Below are 26,020 nucleotides of genomic sequence, written 5' to 3' on the forward strand. Positions count from 1 at the left end.
CCCAGGGGGTCTGTTTGATGAACACATGTATTATTGCAGTGAGATACTCTAGAAATAGCTTCATGTCCTTGCAAAATTGCCAGCACAAGTAAGGACCTGGAAATTGTTGCTATGCATGTATGTCAGAAGATTTCTTAACCAATTCTGTACTGAATAAAATAAAATTTATTTTCAAGTTTTGTAGGGACCTGGGGCAATATGTCAGATAGAGTTGAATATTTTCAAGGCATTTTTAGTTCATGGGGCACATAGTTGGCTTAAGATATCTATGTGTATCAGGACTGAAAGGTAAAGTGCCCGAACCTGCTAATGAAAGAGGTGTCTGTGTGGCCATCTGAGGTTCAGCCACAATGTGTCTTGCAGAATTATTTTATTTTGCTAGTTTTTAATTTCTCAAACAGTTCAGCTGCCTGTCCCGTGGTACCGTGAGACTTCTAATTCAAGATGACCAGTATTTGCAGACAGAGCCACTGCCTTTGCTGCCACATTTTGCTTGGTTATTGTGTGAGAACACCATTTTTCTCTTTTTAAATGAATTGTGTTTCTCTTTTTAAATTGAGCATCTGACTGGGCGCGGTGGCTCACGCCTGTAATCCCAGCACTTTGGGAGGCCACGGTGAGTGGATCACCTGAGGTCAGGAATTTGAGACCATCCTGGCCAACATGGTGAAACTCCTGTCTCTACTTAAAAAAAAAAAAAATGCAAAAACTAGCTGGGCATGGTGGTGCACATCTGTAATCCCAGCCACTTGGGAGGCTGAGGGCAGGAGAATGGCTTGAACCTGGGATGCGGAGGTCATAGTGAGCCAAGACTGTGTCATTGCACTCCAGCCTGAGCAACAGAGAGAGACTGCCTCAAAAAAAAAAAAATCCGTTTACATAGTGATAAATAAAGTAATTACTATAGTGGTGGCATTCTGCCTAAGTCATCTTGAAAACTGAATGCAAAATCTTTTTAATAGCTCCATAATGGTCTCTTGAAGTGTTACAGATTTTTATAACGATAGCTGTAATACAAGTGCCTTTATTTACTGTGAGACTTGAACATTTTGACCATTTACATGGGTACTTGTGTGTCTCCAGCTGAGCTGAGTGCATGTCGCTGCGGCATTGCAGGCGTGTGTGCATGTTGGCTCTTGCAACGGGGCGTCTGCCAGGGGTTGTCTCGGGCAGGAGAAGGAGGCCAGACTGGCACCACTTGTAGTGATTGGAATGTGTCTAGTCCAGCTCTTCAGTTCCATGTAGGAGGTTTTAGGATGGAGATTGTGTTTTGGGAACTCCAAGTCACTGTCCAATTTGGAGAGTATTATGTAAGAAGGCTTATGTTTTCTGATTACCCATCCTTCGATACAGACCAAATAATACCACAGTGATAAAAATGGGAAAGGAGCTGTCGCTCAGCTCTTCTTGGCCGTGTTGTTTGCTTTTCGATGTCTAATTTATGAAAGCATTTCAAAGTGACATATATACTGAACAGCTTCGTCTTGCCAAATGTAAAATAAACTGGAGATGAGTTTAGCACAGAGCTTTGTAGATTGTTGTCCTCTTGGTAGAGTCGGGGCCTAAACACCACCTGGCCTCTGTGCCAGTGGACAGGTGACCTGCCTGTCCTACTGCTGGTCTCTGCAGCTCTCTGTCTTGGGCAACCCTGGCTCTGAGTTCCAGAGTGTTCTCCAGTAGGAGAGTCTGCAGGGGCACTGTGGAGCACCTGGGTATGTGCACATCTGTTGTTGGCTGGCGTTGTCTCTGATGGCTTGGGGTGTCACAGAGACATGACAGTACTGTCACTGCATACCTCTCAAGCTTTTGCTGAGTCCTACATGAGTTGCAGGGGCAGAGAGGGAGGGAGAAAACAATGCCTAGCCACACTGAGAAAGGGGAAAGTGCTACAGAGTCCTGGAAGGAAGCGAGGATGGACATGGACGGGGAAGCATTCATACCAGGCAGGAAAAGTGACTTCATGGACCAGTCACAGAGGACAGGGCCAGGGATCAAACCTTCCGTAATTTGCCTCCACAGTTTGTCTGAGACTGGCTACCTGGTTGAGTCTGCCAGAGCCCTGTGTGCAGGTACTACCACTCACTGTCACCTCCAGGCAGGAAAGGCCATGTGAATGCATGCATCTTTGCAGGAACTTGCCCCTTTCCACTGAGGTTTGAGGCAGACTCCAACCACATTTCCATCCAGTGGCTTAGTGGTCTTACCCGTGAGCTTGAACTGTTGTCCCTGCCAGGACAGTCTTTGCCTCTGTAAGTATCTCCATATTCCTCCATCCTTTCAGGTCCCATTCAGTCCCTAGGTCCTCCATGATGGAATATTGGTTGATGCACTTATTCCACAAACATTTGTTGGCCACCTTTCAAGTGCCAGACAACCCTTCTAGGTATGGAGGGGTACAGTGATGAGCAAGCCACTGTTTCTGGCTGCAGAGGGCTCACTGTTTAGTGGGAGAAACAGACAAATCATACATCTTAACTACACTGCCCTTGATTGCTCTTTACCTGTTATATCAGTCGATCTTGCCTGCCTAGCATTTGTTCCCTGTTTGGGGGCCTGTATGATGTTCGTTTGGATACCTCAGGGTACATTTTCCCATCTTTGTGATGATGTAGCTCACTTGGTCTGAATGATATGTAATCCTGCACATGTAGAGTGACCATTATATTTGCATAAATAGCATTGGAGGAATATATAAGAAATGAATAAAAGTTGTTATATCATTTGATTTTTCTTTTCTTTTCTTTTCTTTTTTTTTTTTTTTTTGAGATGGAGTCTGGCTCTGCTGCCCAGGCTGGAGTGCACTGGCACGCGCATAGCCCATCGCAGCCTCAAACTCCTGGGCTCAAGTGATCGCCTGCCTCAGACTTCATTTTGATTTGTGAACCTCGTGATTCTATTACTTGTTCCACAAAAAATTTTAAATGAAAAAATATTTCAAAAATACATATATTCCGGCCAGGCATAGTAGCTCATGCCTCTAATCCCATCACTTTGGGAGGCCAAGGCAGACAGATCACCTGAGGTCAGGAGTTTCAGACCAGCCTGGCCAACATGGTGAAACCCCGTCTCTACTGAAAATACAAAAGTTAGCTGGGCGTGGTGGCACGTGCCTGTAATCCCAGTTACTCGGGAGGCTGAGGCAGGAGAATTGCTTGAACCCGGGAGGTGGAGGTTGCAGTGAACCGAGATTGCATCATTATGCTCCAGCCTGGGCAGTGAGTGAAACTCTGTCTCCAAACAAAACAAAACTAAAACAAAAACAAAAACAAAACAGGCTGGGCACGGTGGCTCATGTCTGTAATCCCAGCACTTTAGGAGGCCGAGGCGGGCCGATCACAAGGTCAAGAGATCAAGACCATCCTGGCCAACATGGTGAAACCCCATCTCTACTAAAAATACAAAAATTAGCTGGGTGTGGTGGCAGGTGCCTGTAGTCCCAGCTACTCAGGAGGCTGACGCAGGAGAATTGCTTGAACCTGGGAGGCGGAAGTTGCAGTGAGCTGAGGTCGCACCACTGCACTCCAGCCTGGCGACAGAGCTAGGTTCCATCTCAAAAAAAAAAAAAAAAAAATTCCTCCACAACATATATTCCAATGTTTAGTTTTTCTGTTACAGAGATCACATGTACTCTAACTTGTCAACTAAATTTAAAAGGAAAAGACAACTTTGAGAGAAAATTAAAACCAATGCAGTGTGTGTAAATGCCATTTTGATAAGCTCTTATTTCATGTTGACATATTCTATGGTGCTCGTCTTACATAACCTAGTTAGGGAAATGTTTTGTTCCAGTCTGGCTTTGTTTTTCTTCATGTGTTTAGGTCCTTCCACTTTCCTTTTGTTAATTTTTGGTGTTGTACTTCAGGAAATGAATTGAGGGTTGCAAATGACCTGGAGGGCCTTAGTTTGTTTGCTTGTTTGATTTTAGCAACAGTCACCGTGGTACACCTGACGTGGCTGGGACTCCTGATTTTTTTTTTTTTTCTTTTTGAGAACAAAGAATGTGTCCTTGTCTTGGCATGGACTGGGTAGCCTTGTTCACCTCCCCACCCATCTCTCCTTATTGGTGAGGCATTGTAAACCGTGTTAACAGGTAGCATCCACAGAACCCTGGAAAGGTTGTGAAGTCCCTTTGGAAGCCTAAGGGTTTTGATCTCATCCAGGTTGTAATCTTAAATTCTGGTACAAATTCCCTTGTTACAACTGGGTTAAGTGGTTTTAACCTCTTTTGTGCCTTCATTTTGAATGCTTAGACTGGAAAGTCGTTCAGAGACTCCTGACCGAATAAAGCCTACTTCCAAATGAGTGGGTTGTCCAGGTGTGCTTGTAGATGTCACATACTTCTAACAAGGCTCTGCAGCTGCGATGTCACCTTGCCCAGCGTGACCTCATTAGCATGTATGTGGCTTTCAGTGGCCATGTACTTTGCTTCTAGAGCTTTCTTTCCCATTCTGGGTTCTTAGGAGGGGGCTGTGCTTTGTGTGTGGCCAGGCAGAAGTCCATGTTTTAGCTTTTCAATTCTCTTGAAGAAAACAAATGTTGTTGATAAGAACACTTGTCATGGCATCCGATTTGTTCTTGTGAGGGCTGTATTAGCAATAAATAGACATTTAGTTTGCATATTTAACACCTCATCTTCTTTCAGCCCACACGTCTTCACTACAGGATTAGCTTTTCATTACTTAGTAGAGCTTTTAATTACCTGAAGCTTTCGTGTCTTTACTGGGATATAACTTTTCTCCTTATTAACCAGAAAAAGTCACAGAAAATCTTGTAATTTATAATGGAATGGAGTAATATTCACAAACAGGCTTTGGCAGGATTTTTTTTGTTATTGTGTTTTTTGTTTTTGTTTTTTTGTTACACTAGTTTTATCACAAGACAAGAAAGAGGGGAACTTTTAGAAATAAAAATTATGTGCTAAAATAATTAACCTTCCTGAGTAACACACACAGAATGTTGGTATAGTGTTTGCACCAGAGGAATTACATATGGAAGAATGCTGGGATCTTTTACCAAATAAGGGAAAGTAGAGTTCATTACAAATAGAGGCTTCTAGCACAGAAAAGAGGACATTTTATAAGTACTGTGAAGCATTTTCAGAGATAATTAAATAATAGAAAATATTAAACCAATTTAAACAATTTGTAGTTTTTTTCTAATAACCAGTAAGTTCTTCGTCTTCGAATAATTCTTTTATACTGTTCTATTTCCAGCTCCACTGAGTGCCCCTGTGTTTTCAGAGAAAACAGGAGTCTGTTTTGGACTTCCTCTTTGGTATATATGGTGGGAGATTTGTTTAAAAAATTTTTTTATAGAGGTAAAATTCATATGACATAAAATTGTCCATTTAAAGGTGAACAACTCAGTGACATCTAGTATATTCATACTGTTGTGCAATTGCCATCTCTATCTAGTTCCAAAATACATTTGTCATGCCGCAAGGAAAGCCTGTACCCCTTAAGCAGTTAATCCCCATTCCCCTTTCCGCTCAGCTCCTGGCAACCACCAGTCTGCATTCTGTTTCTATGGATTCACCTATTTTGCATAGTGCATATAAATGCAGTTATATAATATGTGACCTTTTGTGTCTGGCTTCTTTCACTTAGCATAATATTTTTAAGGTTCATCCATGTTGTAATGTATCAGTACTTCATCCCTTTTTATGGGTGAATAATAGTCCATTGTATCCAGTTGTATCCAGAAGATTTGCTTTTCATTGCCTAACTTCAGGGCTTCAGACACCTCAATCTTTGTTCTGAGATGGATGTAAACTTAATGTATATCTCTCTCTCTCACCCAATGATCATGCCAACACCTTTTTTTTTTTTTTTTTTTTTTTTTTTTGAGACAGTCTCGCTGTGTTGCCCAGGCTGGGGTGCAGTCTTGGTTCACTGCAACCTCTGCCTCCCAGGTTCAAGTGATTCTTGTGCCTCAGCCTCCCAAGTAGCTGGGGCCACAGGTGTGAGCCACCACACCTGGCTAATTTTTTTTTCTTTTCTCTTTTTTGTTTTTGTAGAGATGGAGTGTTGCCATGTTGGCCAGGCTCGTCTCGAACTCCTGGCATCAAGTGATCTGCCCGCTTCAGCCTCCCAAAGTGCTGGGATTACAGACATAAGCCACCTTGCCTGGCCATGCCAACAATAATTATTTAGAAGTATGTTGAGAATACATCCCAATAATAGAAGTGAAAGCTCTTTAAAAAGAAAAATATTCAAAACTTACCAGCTGATCTTATGTTTCATTTAGAATGGCTGCATTCTTTGCAGTACCCTAGGGTTGTAGAAATTCTCCCCCATGATTGCACAACCCACTCCTTCTCAGCCAGTGTGCACCTGGAGTCAGCTGTGTTTGGCCTTAAGGTGTCCATGGTCCAGCAGGGAGAGGGCAGATGGGTCAGTGTTGTCCTGCTAGTGATGAGTATCCCATGGTGGGCATGCTGATGCCACGCAAGGGAGAGGGTGTCTGGTTCTGTGCAGTGGCAGTGGTGCAACCCCTTACCAAGGTACCGTGGGGACCTGGGTTAGGGCAGGAGGAGGAAGGTGTTCTCTACAGACTGCAGGGCTTGGAGGCAGCCTGTCATGGGGAAGGGTGTGGATGAAGGGTGAGCCGGGACCCCAGGCAGGTACGGAGCAGTTCAAGGCCGTCAAGTGTGCTTCATTCTTCAGTCATTAGGGTGTCTCTGAAAGGTTTTTCATTGAATCAGAATTCCCCTAATTCACGAATTCTAAAGCTTAAGTAAATTCAGTAATAATAAACTGTCAATTATCCAAGCGATGAATATAAATCCATAAGGTTTTTCAAATCCCCAGAAATCCCTTTCGTCTCCCACCTGGTTTTGCTGAGCGCCTGTCTCTTCTGTCTCTTTTCTGATTCCCACCTTTCACTTTTCCTCCATTTTTCGCTTAATGGATTTATACTTTAAAGTAGGTATTCTGAAAATTCCAATTTTATGAATGGTGTGACGGTGAGAACTTTGATTCATTGAAAGATAAAAATAATCATTACATTTTATACTGCAAGGGTCATCCTTAATATTCTTCGTATTTTTAATATAGCTGCATGATTTGAGTAGTTGAGTTGGGGATTGGATAATGTATTTATTGATTGATTAACTCTCTGGGGGTCCATACATACCCCTCTTTATATCCCTGTGGTCCCTTTTTAGTCCTTTTGTAAAAACTTGATAATGTTAACCTCTGCCAAAGTTGATGCGGTAGTTGTGAGTGGTGGGACGCAAGCGTGTTGATTTATTCTTGGAGACAGCAGAAACAGCACCACCTTCAACTGTTTTGTCATGATCATCTTGTAACCATAATTCTGTGCTAAGTCAGAATTAATGTTATTTTGTTAATTCAGGTTATTGTGAAAATCTCCACAGGAGGTTATTTAAGCAAGTCACAAATTGATGTTTCTGTTTGTAGAAAAACTCCAGCTCATCCAGCCAGCCACATTATTCCAGGGCTGCATGGTGTCAGCGTAGGGACCAGGCTCGGTGTAGAGACCAAGGGTGCCTTTCCCCTTCCTTTCCGCCCGTTAATTGCCTACTCGCCCAGTGGTACCTTCTGAACTTTTAGAAATCCAGATAGGATTTCCACATGGTTCATTAGAATTCATTTATTTTTTTCCATCTGTATTTCTTTTTGTTGTACTCCCTAGATCATTATTTTTAGTTACTTTTTACATGCATTGGTTAGGTTTTTCATGTAATCTCTCAGTAAGCGTACTGGGGGATGAGTGACCTCAGTATTTAAATTTTTCATAGGTGGGATGAAATGTCTTTTCTGAGTGTGAGTATTTCTGTTCCATTCTTCTTTTCCAGGCAGGCTCTCATTCTGTGCTGCAGTTTGGATTCAGGGAGCACTGACCCTTCTGTCAGGTTGCTCCTGCTATGAAGGATGGAAGGGCATTTTGATACATGAGGCATAACTGTAATTATCCGGTGGGGCTTGGTTTGTGCTGTTTTCCACCTCTTCGTCATATTTTGGAAAACTGAGGCCAAAAGCAAAGTTCATTTTCCCCTTTAAAAGCTTCTTTAAAAAAATGATGAAAGAGCTTTATCAATGTTTTGAATAACCCAGAAAATATTTCTTATTGTTGATAATCTGCAGTTTGCAAGTGCAGCGAATCTTGTAGGTAGATTTACCTTGAGTTTTTTGAAACGGTAGAATTAATGTATTAAAACATATGGTTTTTAGTTAAAATAGGATGTTAAAGGAATAGAGCGCACGAACAAAAAACTTTCCACTTGAACCCATGTTGTTTCATCTGACAGTGGGTATGGTGTCCCTGGCAGGATAGGGCTTCCACCTCCTGCTGGTGCCGGTAGGACAGGGAAGAGGTGGGGAACACTGTGTCTCCATCTCCCAAGCATCTTACCTCCCAAGTCAGATCCCTGGCATTGTTTGAATACTTGCGTGTTTGTGTGTGGGGTGATGTTTTCCTGAGAATGTGGCAAAATAATAGAAGGTCCCAGGGTTCCTCAGTCTGCAGACCATAGCTGAGTGGTGTGTGCCTCTAGCCATGAGGTGAAGCATAGGTGAAATTCAGATCCATAGGAAGACAGACAGACTTTGCAAGTTAGTAAGCTAACTTGCTAGAGGAAACGGTAGACTCCTGTGCTGGCTGCCAACTAAAAAGCCTTTCTCCACAGTTCTGTTCTCATGTACACCCTCAGGACCTTGGATGAGCTTGTGTGTTCAGGAAATTGGGCACCGAGATTTTTTTTGTATCTTTGATTTTAGTTGATATGTAGTCCTTCCAAGGAAAGTATTCGTTGGATGCCCTTTCTACACTTTGGCATTGTGCAAGAGGTATCAAATTTTAAAGTAAAAGTGCACAACCTGGCCAGGCGCGGTGGCTTACGCCTATAATCCCAGTACTTTGGGAGGCTGAGGCGGGTGGATCATGCTGTCAGGAGATCGAGACCATCCTGGCCAACGTGGTGAAACCCCATCTTTACTAAAAATACAAAAACTAGCTGGGCGTGGTGGTGCGTGCCTATAATTTCAGCTACTTGGGAGGCTGAGGCAGGAGAATCACTTTAACCAGAGAGTTGGAGGTTGCAGGGAGCCGAGATCGCACCACTGCACTCCAGCCTGGGTGACAAAGCGAGACTCCATCTCAAAAAAAAAAAAAAAATGCCCACAACTGGGCATGGTGGCTCATGCCTGTAATCCCAGCACTTTGGGAGGCTGAGGCGGGCAGATCACGAGGTCAGGAGTTCGAGACCATCCTGGCTAACACGGTGAAACCCCGTCTCTACTAAAAATACAAAAAAAAAAAAAAAAAAGCCGGGCGCGGTGCCGGGCGCCTGTAGTCCCAGCTACTCGGGAGGCTGAGGCAGGAGAATGGCGTGAGCCCAGGAGGCGGAGGTTGCAGTGAGCGGAGATCACACCACTGCACTCCAACCTGGGTGACAGAGTGAGATTCCGTCTCAAAAACAACAACAACAACAACAACAACAACAACACCTCACAACCCTGGTCTCCCAGAGCTTCCATATTAATAAATCTAGACAATGTGAAATGCAAATCCACTTAATATTTGATGCAAAAAAATTTTATTTGACCTGTTATTTTAACTCTTTGACATAAAATCTCTAAATCAAAATAATCAGCAACAGTTTTAAGTGTATAAATATGTATTTCTTTCAGTGCTTGAACATTTTTAGACAGGAAGATTCTTGATCTTCTTTGTAAGCAAATAGCATCAAAGAGTAACATTTCTGTACCTTTGTGGTATGTACCTTGTGGCTAATTTGTCCATGAAGGGATAGGCATTGTGTTTTGTTGCTTAAGTCGCTTAAGGCCTTTAAAGCATTTCCAAACTCACCTATTTTTGCTCTAAGGGGTATAAGGTGTTAAAAAATGAATGGAAGTTAACTCATTCTCACCTTGTCTGCTAACTTCCTTTTGTTCTTTTTCTGTAAGAACTCATAAAGCTGTATGCATCAGCTGCTCCCAGGGGCCTTCTAAGGCCTCAGTCCAACAACAGTGCTACAGGTGAGGAAAGGAAAGAAGACACTATGTCATCATGTCATTCTTTTAGACTTGGTAAGAAGTATATTCAAGCAGATCAGATGCTCTCAGAATCACAGCGTGTTGTACTGCTAGTAATTAAAACTGAAGTCCACATTGAATAAGAAATAATTTTTTATTGATTGCTGGCATTTGTGAGAAAGGGTTTAATTAGACCAGGATATGGAGGGGACTTATCGACAGTTCCGTTGTACATTGTTGACATGGTTATTTTCTGTATCTCATTTTGCCTGGGAATTTGTCATTCTCTTCTATTTTCTTATCAGTAGCACTGCTTTTACACTTATTAGCCCTAGCTGTTTGTCTTGCTTATTTAAACTTGTACATGGCACATGCTCAAAGATTTTTCCAGGCAAAATTTCTTTAAAGCAGGATTTGAGATTTTCTATCCCCTTCCGTCTGCTGGATTATTCCGGTGAGTGTTAATCTCCCGCCTTTGTCTTAGCCTCTCTGTGGTCTTCGGTTGCTTCCTTGTTCTCTGTAGATCTCCTGAGTTGGCCATTAGCTGTCAACAGTCAGCACTTGCTGCCTCTCAAGTCTCTTCCCCTCCTGGCTCTGCCCTGGTTTTGCTCTCTGACGGGGATCTAAATTGGGATTCTTTCCAGTGTGGAATCCTGGGTGTCCACCATGTCACTCTGACTTCCAGATGATAATGAGTGTGACCATGGGCTGAATGAATGTCTCTCTGCTGGGATTAAAAGTTAGAGGAAGGCAAAAACAGATATTGCGTGTTCTCACGTATACGTGGGAGCAAAAAAAGTTGATCTCTTGGAGGTAGAGAGTAGAGTGATGGTTACCAGAGACTGGGAAAGGGGGCGATGAAGAGGGGTAGAGAATGAGTACAAACATTCAGTTAGATAGAGGGAATACATTCTAATAGGGTGACTATCGTTAACAGTAATTTACTGTATATTTCCAAATAGCTAGAAGGTTAGAAATGTTCCCAACACATAGAAAGGATACATGTTTGAAATGATGGATATCCTAATTATTCTGATCATTATACATTGCATACATGTTTCAAAATATCATATTAACCCCATAAATATGTACAAATATCACACATCAATAAAAAATAAAGGGGAAGACATAGGTGTAGGCATAGATTTTTAAGCTGAGAACCTTTTGACAGGGAAGACCAGGGATGGTTTTAGGGTGTGGGGAATCTGTGTAAGTTGGCCGTTAGCTGTCAACAGGCAACAATCACTGTCTCTCAGGTCCCTCCCGCTCCCTGCCGTGTCCTGGTTCTACTTGCCGGCAGGGATCTAAGTTGGAATTCCTTTCCAACATGGAATCCTGAGTGTCCACCATGTCAAAATTGTGTCAAAATTCGTCTGTATGCATTTTTCTTGGTAGAAGGGTCCCCAAAAGTCACCACATTCTCAGAGACTTCTGATCCCTAAAACTTTAGATCAACAGTCAATAAAAAGGTCCCAGTTGTGTCTTAGTCCCCATGGCAGTACTTTTGAACATTTAAAGGTGGAGAATTGCTACTGAGGACTTTGTTCTGTGGATGAAACTTCGAATGAGGATTGTTGGTGAGAGTTGGATTGTTGTTGTATGAGGAAGTGCACCTTGGAATCTAATGGGGTCTTCACGGAGGGGGAGTCAGTTGTGGCACTGTTTGTGTATTCCATTCATCATTCATCCCTCCATCCAAGCACCCACGTGGAGCTCAGAAAGATGACTAACACATACCCCCTGCTGCTCCTGTTTTTCTAAGGTGTGCTGGGACCATTTACATTTAGTTCTTTGGAGAACACAACTACTTAGGATTTTTGTTGTTGTTGTTGTTTTCCTGTACATTGTCTTCCTCTCTCCCTTCTGGTACCCATTCCACCCTCTCTCCCCTTCCTCACTGCCGTTTCATAGGGGTTCTCAGATTCCTGTGAATAAAGCAAACCGATGTGCAGATATGTGTGCTTACACATGTGGACGTATTTGAGGAGGTAAGAGGGACCTGCACAAGGCTTTAGTGAGTAAGCAGAGAAGTTATTTATATATAGTGAGACCCAGTAAACGGTGATGTCGCAGGTGAGGCAGTTGATCTGGTCAGAATATGCCTCCAGAGACATCACTGGTGAGGCCTGCATGCATGTTGAAAAGAGTGTATCTTACATCTAGGCTTGGGTTTCCCCCTGCAGCTCACTTATGAATAACAACGTATGCAAGAGATTTGAACATTTTCATGTTCAAATGAAACATGAAAAGGGAAAAAATTTAAGGTTACGGTTAAGTTTGGATTGTTTGCTTATTGGTTTGGTTATTGGCAATTGCTACAAAGTCCAGGGTGTTCTTTATCAGCAGCATGCTTATCAAGTTACTGACATTCAAGCTGAGTTTCCTTCCCTCCCTCCTTCCTTCTTCTCCACTGACATTTTTTTTTTTTAAATAGGTAGGGAGGCATTTAATCTTGTAGCAGCATGAGAGTAGCTTAAATGTCCCTCCTCTAGCAGTATGTTTATAGCAGCGTAGGTAAGGAAAGCCCAGCTTGCACAGCTGAGCTCTAAAGTGCATACATCCCTTAAGTTCTCATACACACACTGGCCAGTGAGACCCCCAAACTGCGAACAGAGAATTCTAATTGAAGTAAAAGCATGAAGTTTTTCTTTATTGACCATGTAGCAACTGTGGAATCATTTGAAAATTTCTGAAAACATGAAACAGGTGTTTATAAGGAGTTTTCTGACTTAACAAAATTGGTGAAATACCAACTTTACTAAAAACTACTAATTCATAATTTTTTGATTAATAATTTCTAGTCTGGAAAAGAGGAATTTTTTGAAAATCACTGATATTTTTGATATACTGTTGTTTTCAAATTGAGTTCTCATAGTGTGGTCGGCTCTGTTCTATGGAATTAATATTGAACAAGCTGTTCTGAACCTAAGAAAGGTTTGTAAAAAATAAACATGAAGGAAGACTTCATTCAAGAGGTCACTTAAAAATTATTATTATTATTATTATTATTATTATTATTATTATTTTAAGAATTAGGTCTCTGTTGGCCAGGCTGGAGCACAGTGGCACAATCATAGCTCACTGAAGCCTCGAACTCCTGGGCTCAAACAGTCCTCCTCCCTCAGCCTCTCTAGCAGCTAGAACTGTATATGTACACCACCACGCCCAGCTAATTTTTTTTTTTAACTTTTTTTTACTTTTGAAGAGGTGAGATTATAGGCACTAGCCACTGTGCCCAGCCAAAAGGTCACTTTTTTTTTTTCCTTGTTGGGGAGGAATCAATAACAGGAACACCAGTCATGATTTGGTGTTTTTTCCAGGGCAGACAAATAAAGATGATATTACGATGTTTGTTATCACAGAATATGTTTGCTTTTGATAGGGGTTGGGTGCTGAAGGGTAAGTGGTTAGAATCATTCTTTTTCTAAGGGTACAGCCATTAATACTCCTTGATTCAAATCACTATTTAAGTTATAAATACATGGATTTATTTTCTAACCTCAAAATTATAGCATCTTACCACATATTTGCATGCCTCTCTTGAGTTAACTACTGGTGATGATTCTTAGCTCATCTGTGGCCAAGTATAGATAAGAGAATTAGAAAGTTGTTTCCAGCGTGTGAACTTTTATGATTTTCTTCCTTGGTTACTGTACTCAGTTCTTTTTTGTTTTGTTTCTATACAAGATGAGTAGCTGGTGGCTCAGATGACCCCCGTGCTGCATGTACAGTCCCATCCAGAGAGTGTTGGGGGCTGTGTAAACCTCGAGGCTCAGAGTGGCTGCCATTTTCCTAAAAGAGAAGTATGGCTGCTGTTGGCCTCAATGTTCAGCTTTACAAAAACTCCCGTAATTAATGAAGGTCAAGGCATCTGCAAACATTAATGGGGTCACAAGGGACAAATCAGTTCCTTGAGGGGAAGTTAAAATGCTAGATTGCTTACCGCTCCAGACAAGGCGTTCTCAAGAAGTATGTGCAGTTTCAGCACAAGGATTAACACGGAGCATTACTTGAGCCATGGGGTGCCTTGGGGGACATGGATCAGCAACCATTTCCTTTTGCTCACAGCGCCCAGATTTTGTTCTGGGGACCACTCTTATCTGCACTGCATAGCAGCCACACATTTTGAGTGAAATTAACCCCAACTAGCATTCGAGCGTCCTCCCCTCCCCCAAAAGATGGACTGTACCCCACACTGTAATCAGCAGGGAGGCATTTCCTGGCCACAGTTCAGGTTGGTCCCTTAGAACGCTGCTCAGAACTGTGGTTTGGTGGCTCTGGGAAGCAGTGCTCTCTCTGAGTGTGAATAAGGATCCACATAGCTCCAGTAGGTGTCTGACGACATCTTGTGATCCGGGGGGAAGCCAGCCTAAGGACAAAGCCATTGTGGGGTGAGAGACAGGATTGGCACAATCACTGACAACCGCAGTAGTAGCCCAGAATAAACTGTGCCTGAAACCTACCCTATTTTTGTATTTTTTCCAGTTTTAAGGAAATAAATCCCCTTTATTGTATACTCAGTTTGAATCAATTATTTTTATCTCTTTGGGATTGGTTTTTGGTTAATCTCAGCAATTCAGAAATAGCTGAAGAACTATGCTGTGGGTTTAGACATCATGCCGTGACAAAAAGAAGAGGATCTTAGAAGCGGGGGACATTCACTGAAGCTTTATGAGCCTTTCCTGAATCCCTTCAAATCAGATCAAGTTCTCTCTCTCCTGTGCTTAGAAATGCTGCCTGTTAAGTCACGTTGGCTACAGCACCCATCTCAGATCCCTTGTGATTCAGTTGTAAAGTAGATTCTTCTGGTCTGAATTAGAGGCCAAAACACAAGACAGATCAAAAATGGGGAACATATTGCAAATTTCCCCACAAAAGACTGAAGGATGTGTTTACCATTGATTGCACAGGGACTGCAGTGTCTATGCTTTTAGGCATGGAAAATGCAGGGTTTGACTATCGAGTTTAGATTTTAAAGTTGAGGATTGTTTCTTTAAGAAGAAATATAGAATATTATTCAGTCCTAAAAAGGAAGGACATTCTGACACATGCAACAGCGTGAATGAACCTTGAGGACATTATGCCAGGTGAAATCAGCCAGTCACAAAAGGACAAATACTCTATGTGATTTCATTTAGATGAGGTTCCCTGGAGTAGTCGCATTCAGAGACAGAAAACAGAATGATGGCTGCGGTGGTGGGGGGGTGGGGGGTGGTTTGGGGAAGGGAGTGGAGTGATGGTTTCACTTTTGCAAGATGGAAAAAGTTCTGGAGGTGGCTGGCGGTGATGTTGTACAACAGTGTGAACTTACTTAACATTGCTGCACTCTACTTAAAAATGGTTAAAACGGTACATTTTGTTATGGATATTTTCCCACAATTAAATTTAAAAGGAAGATGAGTAGTACTCGACTCATTATTGGATATTACATCAGGGAACTGGAGGTAGGGTCTCACTTACTAGTTACGTAGCTCAGGAACCTGGAACCAGACTCCTTCTCCAGCTGGGCAGTCCCAGGTTTGAGTCCTGGCTCCACTGGAGGTTGTCTGACTTGGAGGTTAATAATAACCTGCCTTAGTCCCAGAGTCCTTAGAGGGAAAATAGGTTATAATACCTGAGTCCATGTGTATCAAGCCATTGCTGGTTCCAGGCCCCTGGAGCACTCAGAAATGGATGACCCCCAGCTGGGTCAGGCCAAGTCCTCCCTGCTGTAGCAAGCGGGACCATTGCCTCGTTCCCCCCACCTCCACATGGAAGGTGCCTTTTGTGTCCTGCCCCATCTCTGTTTTAACAGTCACAAGACTGTAGGCAGATCTAAACTTGTTTGCACATTATTATCACCTGGGGAGCTTTGACGATTCCAAAGCCAGGCTGCCACCCCCACCTCTAGACCAACTGAATCACCATTTCCAGGGGTGGGACTGGGCATCCGTGTTTTCGAGGCTTCTGGGTGAGTACCTTGTGCAAACAAGTTCAGGGACCGTTGCCCTAGACACTGTTCTTCCCCTCATGTCTCAACCTGGGCCTCCTACCACTGCCACCACCACAGCTATGCCACCTGGGATGTGTCCCAAGCCCCCACTTGTCGGGGAAGCAGCTGGGGAGGGGTCTTTGGCCACCTCTGCAGCTATAAGGATCAGAGCAACACCTGGCTTCTGTGCCTGTGGCCCCTGCTGGTGCTGGGTCCCTGGTCCGCACTGAAGGATCCAGGCAGAGTACAGTGGGTCTCCCAGGTCAGAATCCCCTGGGTTGCTTGTTAAAGCTCACAGGGCTGGGCCCCACCCCAGGGTTTCCGATTCAGCAGGTCTCGGGCTGGTTGGATGATGAGAATTTGCATTTCTGTCAAGTTCCCATGTGATCCTTTTTGGGGTCTGGGACCACACTTTGAGAACCACTGGTCTATTAAACAAATCTTTGCAAATTAGGGAGGTGTGTTGTGGGAGGAAGAGACTGATAGTTGAAAGAATATTTGCCTAAATACAGTGCCTAGTATTTGCCAAGTACGCAGCCTTCTTTCTGGCTTTAATCATACAGACTTTCTCAATCACATGTAATTGCACATCCTTTAAGCAGCTTTTGACTGACTTTGGTTTTCTCTTTTGTGGTGATTTTCCTTAAACTCCCGAAGGGAGGGTGGAAGGGGCAAGAGAAATTTTTATTTATTTATTTTAATTTAATTATTTTTTATTATTTATTTTTTTATTTTTTTTTTGAGATGGAGTCTTACTCTGTCGCCCAGGCTGGAGTGCAGTGGTGTGATCTCAGGTCACTGCAACCTCCGCCTCCCGGGTTCCAGCAATTCTCCTGCCTCGGCCTTCTGAGTAACAGGGTCTATGGGCATGTGCCACCATGCCGGGCTAATTTTTTGTATTGGTAGTGGAGATGGGGTTTTGCCATGTTGGCCAGACTGGTCTTGAACTCCTGACCTCAGATGATCCACGCGCCTTGGCCTCCCAAAGTGCTGGGATTACAGGTGTGAGCCACTGCGCCCAGCCAGATTTTATTTCTTTAAAAAAGAAACTTACTAGTTATCAGGACACTTGTGTTCTTGGTACTTGATTTTGTCAGCATTATTTTTAAGAGCCTCTTCCCTCCTTCCCCCTACCTCCCTGTTGAGCCCAGGCTCTGAAATAACATAGGTGCATGTGAAGTTCCCCTACCTGCCATTACCAGACATTGGTGCTGGGCGGCCCTCACCTCCACCTCCTCTCACCTGAGGCCACAGCGGTGTGCAAGGATGTGGTCTGTCTTGAGTGTGTTTTCAAAGCAGCTGTTTGGTCTGTGCCTTGGATGTTTTTCCACAGATAAGCCCAAAAGAGAACCACATCTTAAAACGCCCGTGACCTTGAATGGTCTTTCCGGAGGGGCGGCTGGATTTGTGCTCTCATCGTCTCAGGTATGTGTCAAGCCACTGTTGTTTCAGAGCTGGACACAGGTGCTTAGGAAAATTCCTCACTGAAGGGTTTTCAGGATTTACAAGTTCTTGCTGTTTTTGTGACCTTGTGTGGTTTCTGGTTTCACAGAAGGCTTTGTTTCTTGGTTCTTGTTGCTGCTTTCAGCCTTGGCCTGTAATCACTGGGCGCCAGGGAGGGCTGCGGTCTGTTTCCCGGGGTGTGCTCAGATACCGTGTCAGTTCACATGTGTTGCTGCAGCGGCAGGGGGCCAGGCAGGAGGGGCGGGTGTCCTGAAGCACGCTCAATTTGCTGATCAGGGCCTTCACTTGGATTTTGCACTTGCCGCAGTGGAGACATTCCTCGTAGCTACTCAGTGTGGTTTGTTTTAAGTGGGCCATCCGTTAATTCATGTGACCTGGAACTTGGTTAATGTACTTGCCAAGGTTAAAGTTGAGACGCTGTTTGTTAAACCTTTCAAAGAGGGAAGAAGGTTGCCTTGAATTCAGTTCCAGGGTTTGGGAGTCTGAGAGGGAGGTGGTGAGGGGCCCGGGGAGGCCCTGAGAAACAAAATGCTGGTTAAGGACACAGTCTGCTCACCGACCTCGGAAGTCTCTAGACGTCTAAAGAAGTCCAAGCAAGGAATGATGACCGAAGAGGAACCTCAAGGGTGCAGGCGGCTCTGGGATCTCAGCACATCTCAGTGATGGAATGAGCTGCCGGGGAATGACCCCTGTGGGGGCTGTCCAAAGTCAGAGCAGACACAAACGTAGCTCTCCAGGCCCCATACCTTGGTGGGCAAGAGGGCAGCAAGTGCATCCTCACAGTTGATGGGGAGAGCAGCATTTCAGCCTGCAGAAAAGAGAACCACACAGATGTAAGATGAGGTCTGCACTCACTTGCCTGGTCATGCAGAGACGGAGCTGGGAGCAGCTGCATGACTTTTCAGAGAAGTGGCACACGTTTACTGTAAGGGTCCCAAATGTAGACCACTGCAGATCGTAAGGTCTAGATGGAGGGACCAATAGTAGGGAAGTAGGGGAGAAGAAAGTAAAACCTTACAGTATAAAGACCCATAGATGCTCTTTTGTTTTTGATGTGTGTACGGGGGTTAGATATTTATTGAGCACCTACTGCATGACAGAGTGTTCAGCAATGACAATGCAGAGCTTAATAAGAACAGGTTCTAGACTAATCTTTTAGGGGGTGAGGATAGAACAGAAATAGGTAATTATGTCCTGAGAACATGAGAGAGTGTTGGTGGACAGAACGGCGATGTATCCCCAAGGGCAACTGAAGCCTTCACAGAAGATGCAAAGCCTGTACGTGGTCCTCGGAGTCATGCCACATGGTGACTGGTTATCTTAGTCGTAGGAAAACTGAGAAGCTTTGAGGCATGTTCTATCTGTCTTTGTGGGCATCATCTTCATTATTTGAACAATTCAGAGTGCTTGATGCCTTTTGCTTCGTTCTCACAATCCTTGACACTAAGCTGTGGGCTTGGGTTATAGTCACTCATTCTGTTATTCATGTCATTTTGCCTATCCTTCCACTTCACAGATGAGAAGACTGAGACCCAGAGAGGGTCATGGTTTTCATTAGCCAAATGGTGCAGAAACCCAGTGGTCACAGTGGCTCTCTAGCTCTTTGTCACCCACAGGGCCCTTGATAAGAGTACGGTCTTTCTCCAGGGGAGCAGGGTTGAGGAGTGGGGGCAGCCCTGGCCTGGGTGGCCATATCCTGATTTCCCCTCCCTTGGCCCATAGCTCTCTATCTTGGGTGAGGTGAGAAAGTAAGGCTGCTCCTTGACTGTGGTCCCTTTTGTGTCTGTCCTGCACTGGGCCACCTTCCCAGGGGCCTTGTGTCAGCCTGGTAGTGGTGCTAGTGGCCTTGAAGTGAGAGTGGGTGGATCACACATGGCAGATCTCTGGCAGTGACCTTTTCTGTGGATTTCCGGTGACTGATGATAGCCTCTTTGGAAGTCAGCATATGCATAGCTCTCTGTCTTTTGAAAACAATGGAAAAACCCACCACCAGCCCCAAAACCAGCTGTCTTTCTTCTTATGAATAGATATCCATGAAAAGCAGAAGAGTAGTTTCTTGTAAGTACTCTGGGAGTGCATAATACATTTTAAATAAGATTAAAAATTATGTTTTATTCTTACTAGCATCACTGTCAGATAATTGAGCGTGAGAGCATTCAGTGCTGTGTGCTTGGTACGAAGTAGTAACATCAATTCAGTGTTCAGTACATCCACTTTGTTCCAGAACAATGTATTCAAGGTCGGTGTATTTTGGCTGTGCCACAGAGTTCTGGAAATTCCCAAGAGAATAAGTTTTCACCTGTTATATAATCCAGCACAAGTGACTGTGTAGCAGCAACCTCATGTTTCATGATGACTTTAAAATGCAATTGATTCTAAAATTTAGCTTTTAAAAATTTCGACTTCAGATTTTCTCTGAAGGTTTAAGGTAGGCTTCTCCTTTATTAATTTTTTCAAGAAATATTTAAGAACACTGCTCTGTGCTATGTACCATTCTAAGCACTTTACAGATACTAATTCATTTAATCCTCAGCCTGGTTAGGTAAGTACTGCTATTCCCACCGTACAGATGAGGAAACAGCCTCAGAGGAGTTAAAACAAGTTGCTCAGGTTACACCGTCAGCGGTTTGGACTACTTCAGTTTCAGATAATCACTGTGAAATTTTACTGTTTTGAGCTACACGTTTCAAAATCTTTTCTGATGCGGAACTATCATTAAATCATATAATCCGCTTCTCTGGAGTCAGAGGTTGACAACACATTAGCACTTGACTCGAGCCTCTCCCTGGAGGAGGACATTCCGTCTGCGGGGAGCCGAGTCCGAGGCTGGAGCAACTCTGGAACCACAGCCCTCCAGTAGAGGGCACACGAGAGCAGGCTATCTGTGGAGATAGCCTGTTGGCACAGGGGTGAAGATGACAGAGGCGAACCCAAGCAAAGAGAGTTAATTAGCAGAGTTTGCCCTCCAGGCTCGGAGGGCAAGTCAGCCTGGGGACCTGGAGTTAGTTCCCTTTTCAGCTGTGACCATTGAAGACATTCATCAAGTTCTCTGGCTCCGGGATGTCAGCTGTGGTAGTGACTTGCATGGGAGGTTATCCGACATACCTCACACACTTTAACTCCACCTCTTCAGAGTTTGTGGCCAAGAATGGAGCCAGGTGGCTATTTTTTTTTTTTAAATTTATGTAATAACAAACATTCGCATTTATTGAAAACTTAAAGTATAATAAAAAAATAAATAAAATAAAAAAAGAAAAAAGAAAACTTATTCCTGTGTCAGGCACTTTTCTAAGTGCTTTGCAGTGTATTGTCTCATTTAATAGTTGTTTAAATTAACAGAGTAGGCCGGGTGTGGTGGCTCACATCTGTAATCCCAGTACTTTGGGAGGCTGAGGCGGGTGGATCACCTGAGGTTGAGAGTTCAAGACCAGCCTGACAAACATGGAGAAACCTCATCTCTACTAAAAATACAAAATTAGCCACAGTGGTGGCGCATGCCTGTAATCCCAGCTACTCAGGAGGCTGAGGCAGGAGAATCGCTTGAACCCGGGAGGTGGAGGTTGTGGAGAGCCAAGATTGCATCATTGCACTCCAGCTTGGGCAAAAAGAATGAAACTCTGTCTCAAAAAAAAAAAAAAAAAAAAAAAAAAGAGAGAGAGAGTAAATAAAATTGTAAGGTGAATATGTTATCTACTTGATGGAATTTTTTAAACTACCTTGAAAAGTTTTATAGTTTCCTATTTACAGATGAAATTAACATACTAATTATAAATCATGCCTCACTATTCACTTTAGGCAGTCTATCTCCTTAAGGATCTCCTTACGGTTTAGATAGATAAGTGAATTGCTTAATGTTTTTGGAAGTAATAAAACTGCATTTCTTTTTAATTAAACAATCCAGATAACAAGAAGTAATTCTAATAGGAAACTTGTAGGATGTATTTACAGAAAATCTACACAATCTTACTGAACAATGTAGAAAAGAAGATTTACCAGCCTGGGCAACATGGCAAGCTTTGTCTCTTAAAAAACAAAACAAAACAAAATTTAGCCGGGAGTCGTGGCATACAATTGTCATGTCCACTTCTCAGGAGGCTGAGGTGGGAGGACTACTTGAGCCCAGGAGGTCAAGACTACAGTGAGCCACATTTGTGCCGCTGTACTCCAGCCTGGATGACAGAGCGAGACCCTGTTTCAAAATAAAGAAAAAGAGATTTAAATGAAGCGAAATGCCATTTTCTCTAGGTGAGAAACTGGAATATTATCAATGTCACTTCTTCCCAAATTGATTTATAATTTAAAAACAATTTTAGTACTTCTGCAGCTTGTTTGGAGCTTGATAAAATGATTGTAGAGTTTGTCTTGAAGCTTTAATAGTGAGGCAGGTTTAAAATTGGGGGCAAAAAAGAAATGGGTTTTAGGGTGTAGAAGGGACTTGCCTGATCACTTTTGCTAGAAATAAATGTCCCTCCAAATTAAATTACTAATGTCGCACATCAGATCGTATTTAAATCCATTAGAAGATTTTACTGTTCCATTAGAGCTACCCATAGCTGGTGAAGACTCTGCTTATAGTGGAACCTAGTTTCTCAGTTTTCCATTTATATTTATTTACCTGAGCTTTTTGTAAAGTAGTAAGTACTTGACTGAATTTCTGCTATTTATCAAATGCTTTTTGAATAGAAATAATGAGTTAATAACATTTAGCCTTTTTTGGTAAATAGTATAAACAAGATAGGGCAAATATGTAAACTACTTAGAACTTTATCTACCTTGCATATTTTGTACCTCTTATTTGCATATGCATGTCACATGCTCCTTATGTACCATGTGCTATTACTGTGCCGGGGTACTGGGGCTATATTGAGTCTATTTCCTGTCTTTGTAGACTTGATGGATAATTTGGACAGCATTGTGATATTCCAGGTTTAAGAGTCTTAAGGTTCAAGACTACATTAAATGTTAATGTAGTCCAACATTTCTTGAACTCTGAAATCCTCTGAGCATCTTTTCATGCACTGGCCTAAAATGTTTTCATAGCCCAGCAAAAGGCTGATTACTTATTTCCCTCCTATTGATTTTTTTTGAGATGGGGTCTTGCTGTGTTGCCCTGTCTGCTTGTGAACTCCTGACTCCGGTGATCCTCCTGCCTTGGTCTCCTGTTTATGTTTTAAATAGCATTTCTCAAACCTATTTGAGCAAATAACTTTCCTGTTAATATGTAGTATTCCTTGAAAGAATTGAATTTGTGAGTCCCTAATCTAGACACTTTTAAAGAAGAAACAAAACTCAGTAACACATTTGGATAAAAACCTGAATATGTCCATTTTGGGATGAAAGGAAGCAGCTTTGTTTACCATGTTGAATTAAGTGGAAAACATCTTATTTTAATCATGATTGATAGAAATCTAAATTTGTAAATTCTGATTTTTATGTTTTTTTTACAATGAAAATACATTTTAAATGTCACCATCCCCTTCCCCATGAAGTCTTCATTACAACTAATTTTGAAAATACTCTCTCATTTATTTATATTATATATGCATATGTTCTACTGTATAATTTTAAATACTTAAATGGGGTTATCTTTTTGCATTGTTCTGTATCTTTTTTCAGCTTAATAATTTACCTTGCTTATAATTATTGTCAGTGCTTGCGGACCTGCTCTTTATGCATTTTTAACCATTGCATAAAGCTGGAATGATGGACATGATTTCTTTAATCACTCCAAATTAGTCATTTAGTTGTTTCCAGTTTTTTAGTATTACAAATAACTCTGCAATAAACGTGTCTTGGGTATGCATTCTTTTAGTTTAAAATAGTCTTGTTCCTTCAGAAAGTTGCTCAATAATAGACTTAGAAATTCTTTTGTGCTAATTACTGTAATTGCTCATTTTAAGATCTCCTTTTATTGTTTTCATAGTATATAATCCTAAACTGTTACAACTGAAATAGTCCTTGAGCTAAGAAAGCAATGTGGCTTAAAGATAGGATTTCTAAATAGAGACTTAAAAATTAACCTTTTTGGAGCTGTGACTTCCTGATGAAGTGGCAGCACACAGGCTGAATATGTTCTACATCTGGATGGCCCAACATCATGATGCTGTGATTTGCGAGAAGCTCTCTGCCTGCCTAGGCTGCTGGAGGATGGCAAGTTAATTTATTTGTTGTTGGGAGACCTCCCCCTGCCCCCATTAAAAAAATTATTTTGAAATACTTGTAGATTCACATGCAGTTTCAAGAAATAATAAAGAGTAATTCCATGCACCATTTTCCTCCAATAGTAACATTTTGTGAAACTAGTACAGTATCACAGCTAGGATATTGACGTTAATATAGTAAGGATATATGTCATCACCACAAAGGTACACCTACTTCCCTTCTATCTCTCCTCTCTCCTTCATGCCTGGTTACAAACTAACCTGTTCTCTCTATATAAAATTTTATCATTTAATAATGTTCTGTAAATAGACTCATAGTATGTAACCTTTTGGAACTGAAGTTTTTCCATCAGCATAATTCCTTATAGATTCATTCAGGTTGCTGTGTTTATCAATAGTTTGTTTCTTTTTATTGCTGAATGGTATTCTGTGGTGTAAATGTACTACATTCCATGAGCATGGCATGTCCCTCCATTTATTTAGTTTTTCTTTGATTTACTTCATTAGCATTTTGTAGTTTTTGTAGTCCTGTGTATGTTTTGGTAGAGTTACACCCTAAGTATTTAATTTCTTTGCTCATTGCCAGTATATAGAGATACAACTTATTGAACTCACTTTTTAGTTTATGCTAGTTTATTACTAATTATCAATACATGCTCAAGATATGTCAACTCCTTTTATTTTTATTAGGTGTCACTTGCTACATTTTGTGGAGAATACCGATGCTGTTGCTAGAAAGTGCTGCTGTCACAAAGTGGGTTTATAGATAGTACCACGCTATCCTTCTTCCTAGGCTAGATTAGAAGTTATTTATGTGCTATATGCACATAGAGTTTTTGATTGGTCTATTGCAAATACTATGGCATCTGAAATTTTTTTTTTTTTTTTTTTTTTTTTTTTTTTTTTGAGATGGAGTCTCCCTTTGTTGCCCAGGCTAGAGTGCAATGGCGCAGTCTCAGCTCACTGCAGCCTCTGGCTTCCGGGTTCAAGCGATTCTCCTGCCTCAGCCTCCCAAGTAGCTGGGATTGCAGGCACCCGCAACCACACCCGGGTAATTTTTGTATTTTTAGTGGAGACAGAGTTTCACCGTGTTGACCAGGCTGGTTTCAAAGTGCTGGGATTACAGGCGTGAGCCACCGTGCCCGGCCCCTGAATCCTATTTTTAAGTATAAAAAGTCTTTTTTCAGCTCTGGATTATGGTGCTGCAAGCTGATATTCTTCTCATGGCAGTAAACAGAGAAGTCCTAGGGGTAATCTTACCCCTCTGGGGAGTCCAGGATATCTGAGCATCTCCCTTTTCTTTTTACTGCTAGAAAGAATTTCTGCTAGTAGAATTTTTATTTTGGCCAACTCTGACCCCTTAGGTTGATGTCAGAATGAGGTGTACCAACCTAGGTGGTCAGAGTTGGCCAAAATACACATTTTCCTGCTGAGCAATTTAGTCTAGGTTAAGTCATACTTGACCATATGCCCTAGTTTAGCGTCCAGTTTGTGAACATTCTTTACCTGAGTTATTGTAATTCTAATCTCTTATGTAAAACTGCAGGTAGTCAGCCCTTTGTCTCCTTCAGTTCTACATCTGCGGATTCCTTCAACTACAGATTAAGAATATTTGGGGGGAAAAACAGTAAAAAAAAATTACAATACAACAATAAAGACAACAAATTTAAAAACTAGTATAACAACTTTTTATACAGCATTTGTATTGGGTATTGTAAGCTAGAGATGGCTGAAAGTCTATGAGACGATGTGCATACGTTATATGCAAGCGCTGCCATTTTATTGCAGAGACTTGAGCATCCAAGGATTTTGTATCCGTGGGAGTCCTGGAACCAATCCCCCTTGGATACTGAGGGATGACTGTATTTACAACATGTCTAGATTTTCGACAACTTGAATTAAACCAGAAAGAATATGAACACACAGAAGTTCATGTGTATATATATATGTGTATGTGTTTAGAAGGGAGCAAGCTGTTAAACATGGGAAATAGTTGCTAGTAGTTTGTAATTTTATGATTACAATTTTAAAATTCAATTTTGCAACTGGAATTTGACTTGATTGGTTAGTGCCTTACAGTAATTAACCTCCAAATCATCAGAATGTCATCTTGTTATTTAGGTAATTGAATCTACTTTTCTTGTATACAGAATGCTTTTTGGAAACAATACACTGTATATCTAGTTTGTACCAAGAACTAATTGTACACAGTCAGATACTTGCAGTTCTTTTGGACTTGAGTTTCTTTATCCTTCTATCAGATGTCACAATTCCCTCTTCCCTTTGTAGCATATGAAAGTAGTTGTGTGTGCACTGTATTTGAGAATGTCAAGTAATAGAATCTCTAGAAAACATTCATGATTTCAGTCCCAGGTAATCCAGAGTTAAAAATAATGTTCATAAGGAAGGGTAGCAAAATTTAGATT

General features: G+C 42.0%; 1 protein-coding gene, 1 long non-coding RNA gene and 1 other non-coding gene across 9 annotated transcripts in view, besides 4 other annotated features; 2 read left to right on the forward strand and 1 right to left on the reverse strand.

Moving 5' to 3' along the window:
* IGF1R (insulin like growth factor 1 receptor) overlaps positions 1-26,020 on the forward strand; it is a 315,992-nt gene that overhangs the window by 110,954 nt on the left and 179,018 nt on the right. The gene's annotated exons all lie outside the window — the stretch shown is intronic.
* On the reverse strand, positions 10,134-24,461 carry LOC124903560 (uncharacterized). Its single transcript, XR_007064772.1, has 2 exons — positions 15,459-24,461; positions 10,134-14,367 (listed from the first exon to the last, which is right to left on the reverse strand). It is a non-coding gene; the product is annotated as an uncharacterized LOC124903560 (long non-coding RNA).
* Positions 13,540-14,122: an enhancer, noted in NCBI's record as "H3K27ac-H3K4me1 hESC enhancer chr15:99316261-99316843 (GRCh37/hg19 assembly coordinates)". NCBI's record gives its function as "activates a minimal SCP1, AML or CMV promoter by ChIP-STARR-seq in primed H9 embryonic stem cells {active_cell/tissue: H9 hESC(primed)}" and the evidence as "EXISTENCE:reporter gene assay evidence [ECO:0000049][PMID:30033119]".
* Positions 14,123-14,704: an enhancer, noted in NCBI's record as "H3K27ac-H3K4me1 hESC enhancer chr15:99316844-99317425 (GRCh37/hg19 assembly coordinates)". NCBI's record gives its function as "activates a minimal SCP1, AML or CMV promoter by ChIP-STARR-seq in primed H9 embryonic stem cells {active_cell/tissue: H9 hESC(primed)}" and the evidence as "EXISTENCE:reporter gene assay evidence [ECO:0000049][PMID:30033119]".
* Positions 16,804-17,711: an enhancer, noted in NCBI's record as "H3K27ac-H3K4me1 hESC enhancer chr15:99319525-99320432 (GRCh37/hg19 assembly coordinates)". NCBI's record gives its function as "activates a minimal SCP1, AML or CMV promoter by ChIP-STARR-seq in primed H9 embryonic stem cells {active_cell/tissue: H9 hESC(primed)}" and the evidence as "EXISTENCE:reporter gene assay evidence [ECO:0000049][PMID:30033119]".
* Positions 17,712-18,618: an enhancer, noted in NCBI's record as "H3K27ac-H3K4me1 hESC enhancer chr15:99320433-99321339 (GRCh37/hg19 assembly coordinates)". NCBI's record gives its function as "activates a minimal SCP1, AML or CMV promoter by ChIP-STARR-seq in primed H9 embryonic stem cells {active_cell/tissue: H9 hESC(primed)}" and the evidence as "EXISTENCE:reporter gene assay evidence [ECO:0000049][PMID:30033119]".
* On the forward strand, positions 24,934-25,010 carry MIR4714 (microRNA 4714). The gene has a single exon (NR_039864.1). It is a non-coding gene; the product is annotated as a microRNA 4714 (primary transcript).

This window comes from Homo sapiens, chromosome 15 (assembly GCF_000001405.40).
Source record: "Homo sapiens chromosome 15, GRCh38.p14 Primary Assembly".
NCBI classification, from domain to species: domain Eukaryota; kingdom Metazoa; phylum Chordata; class Mammalia; order Primates; family Hominidae; genus Homo; species Homo sapiens.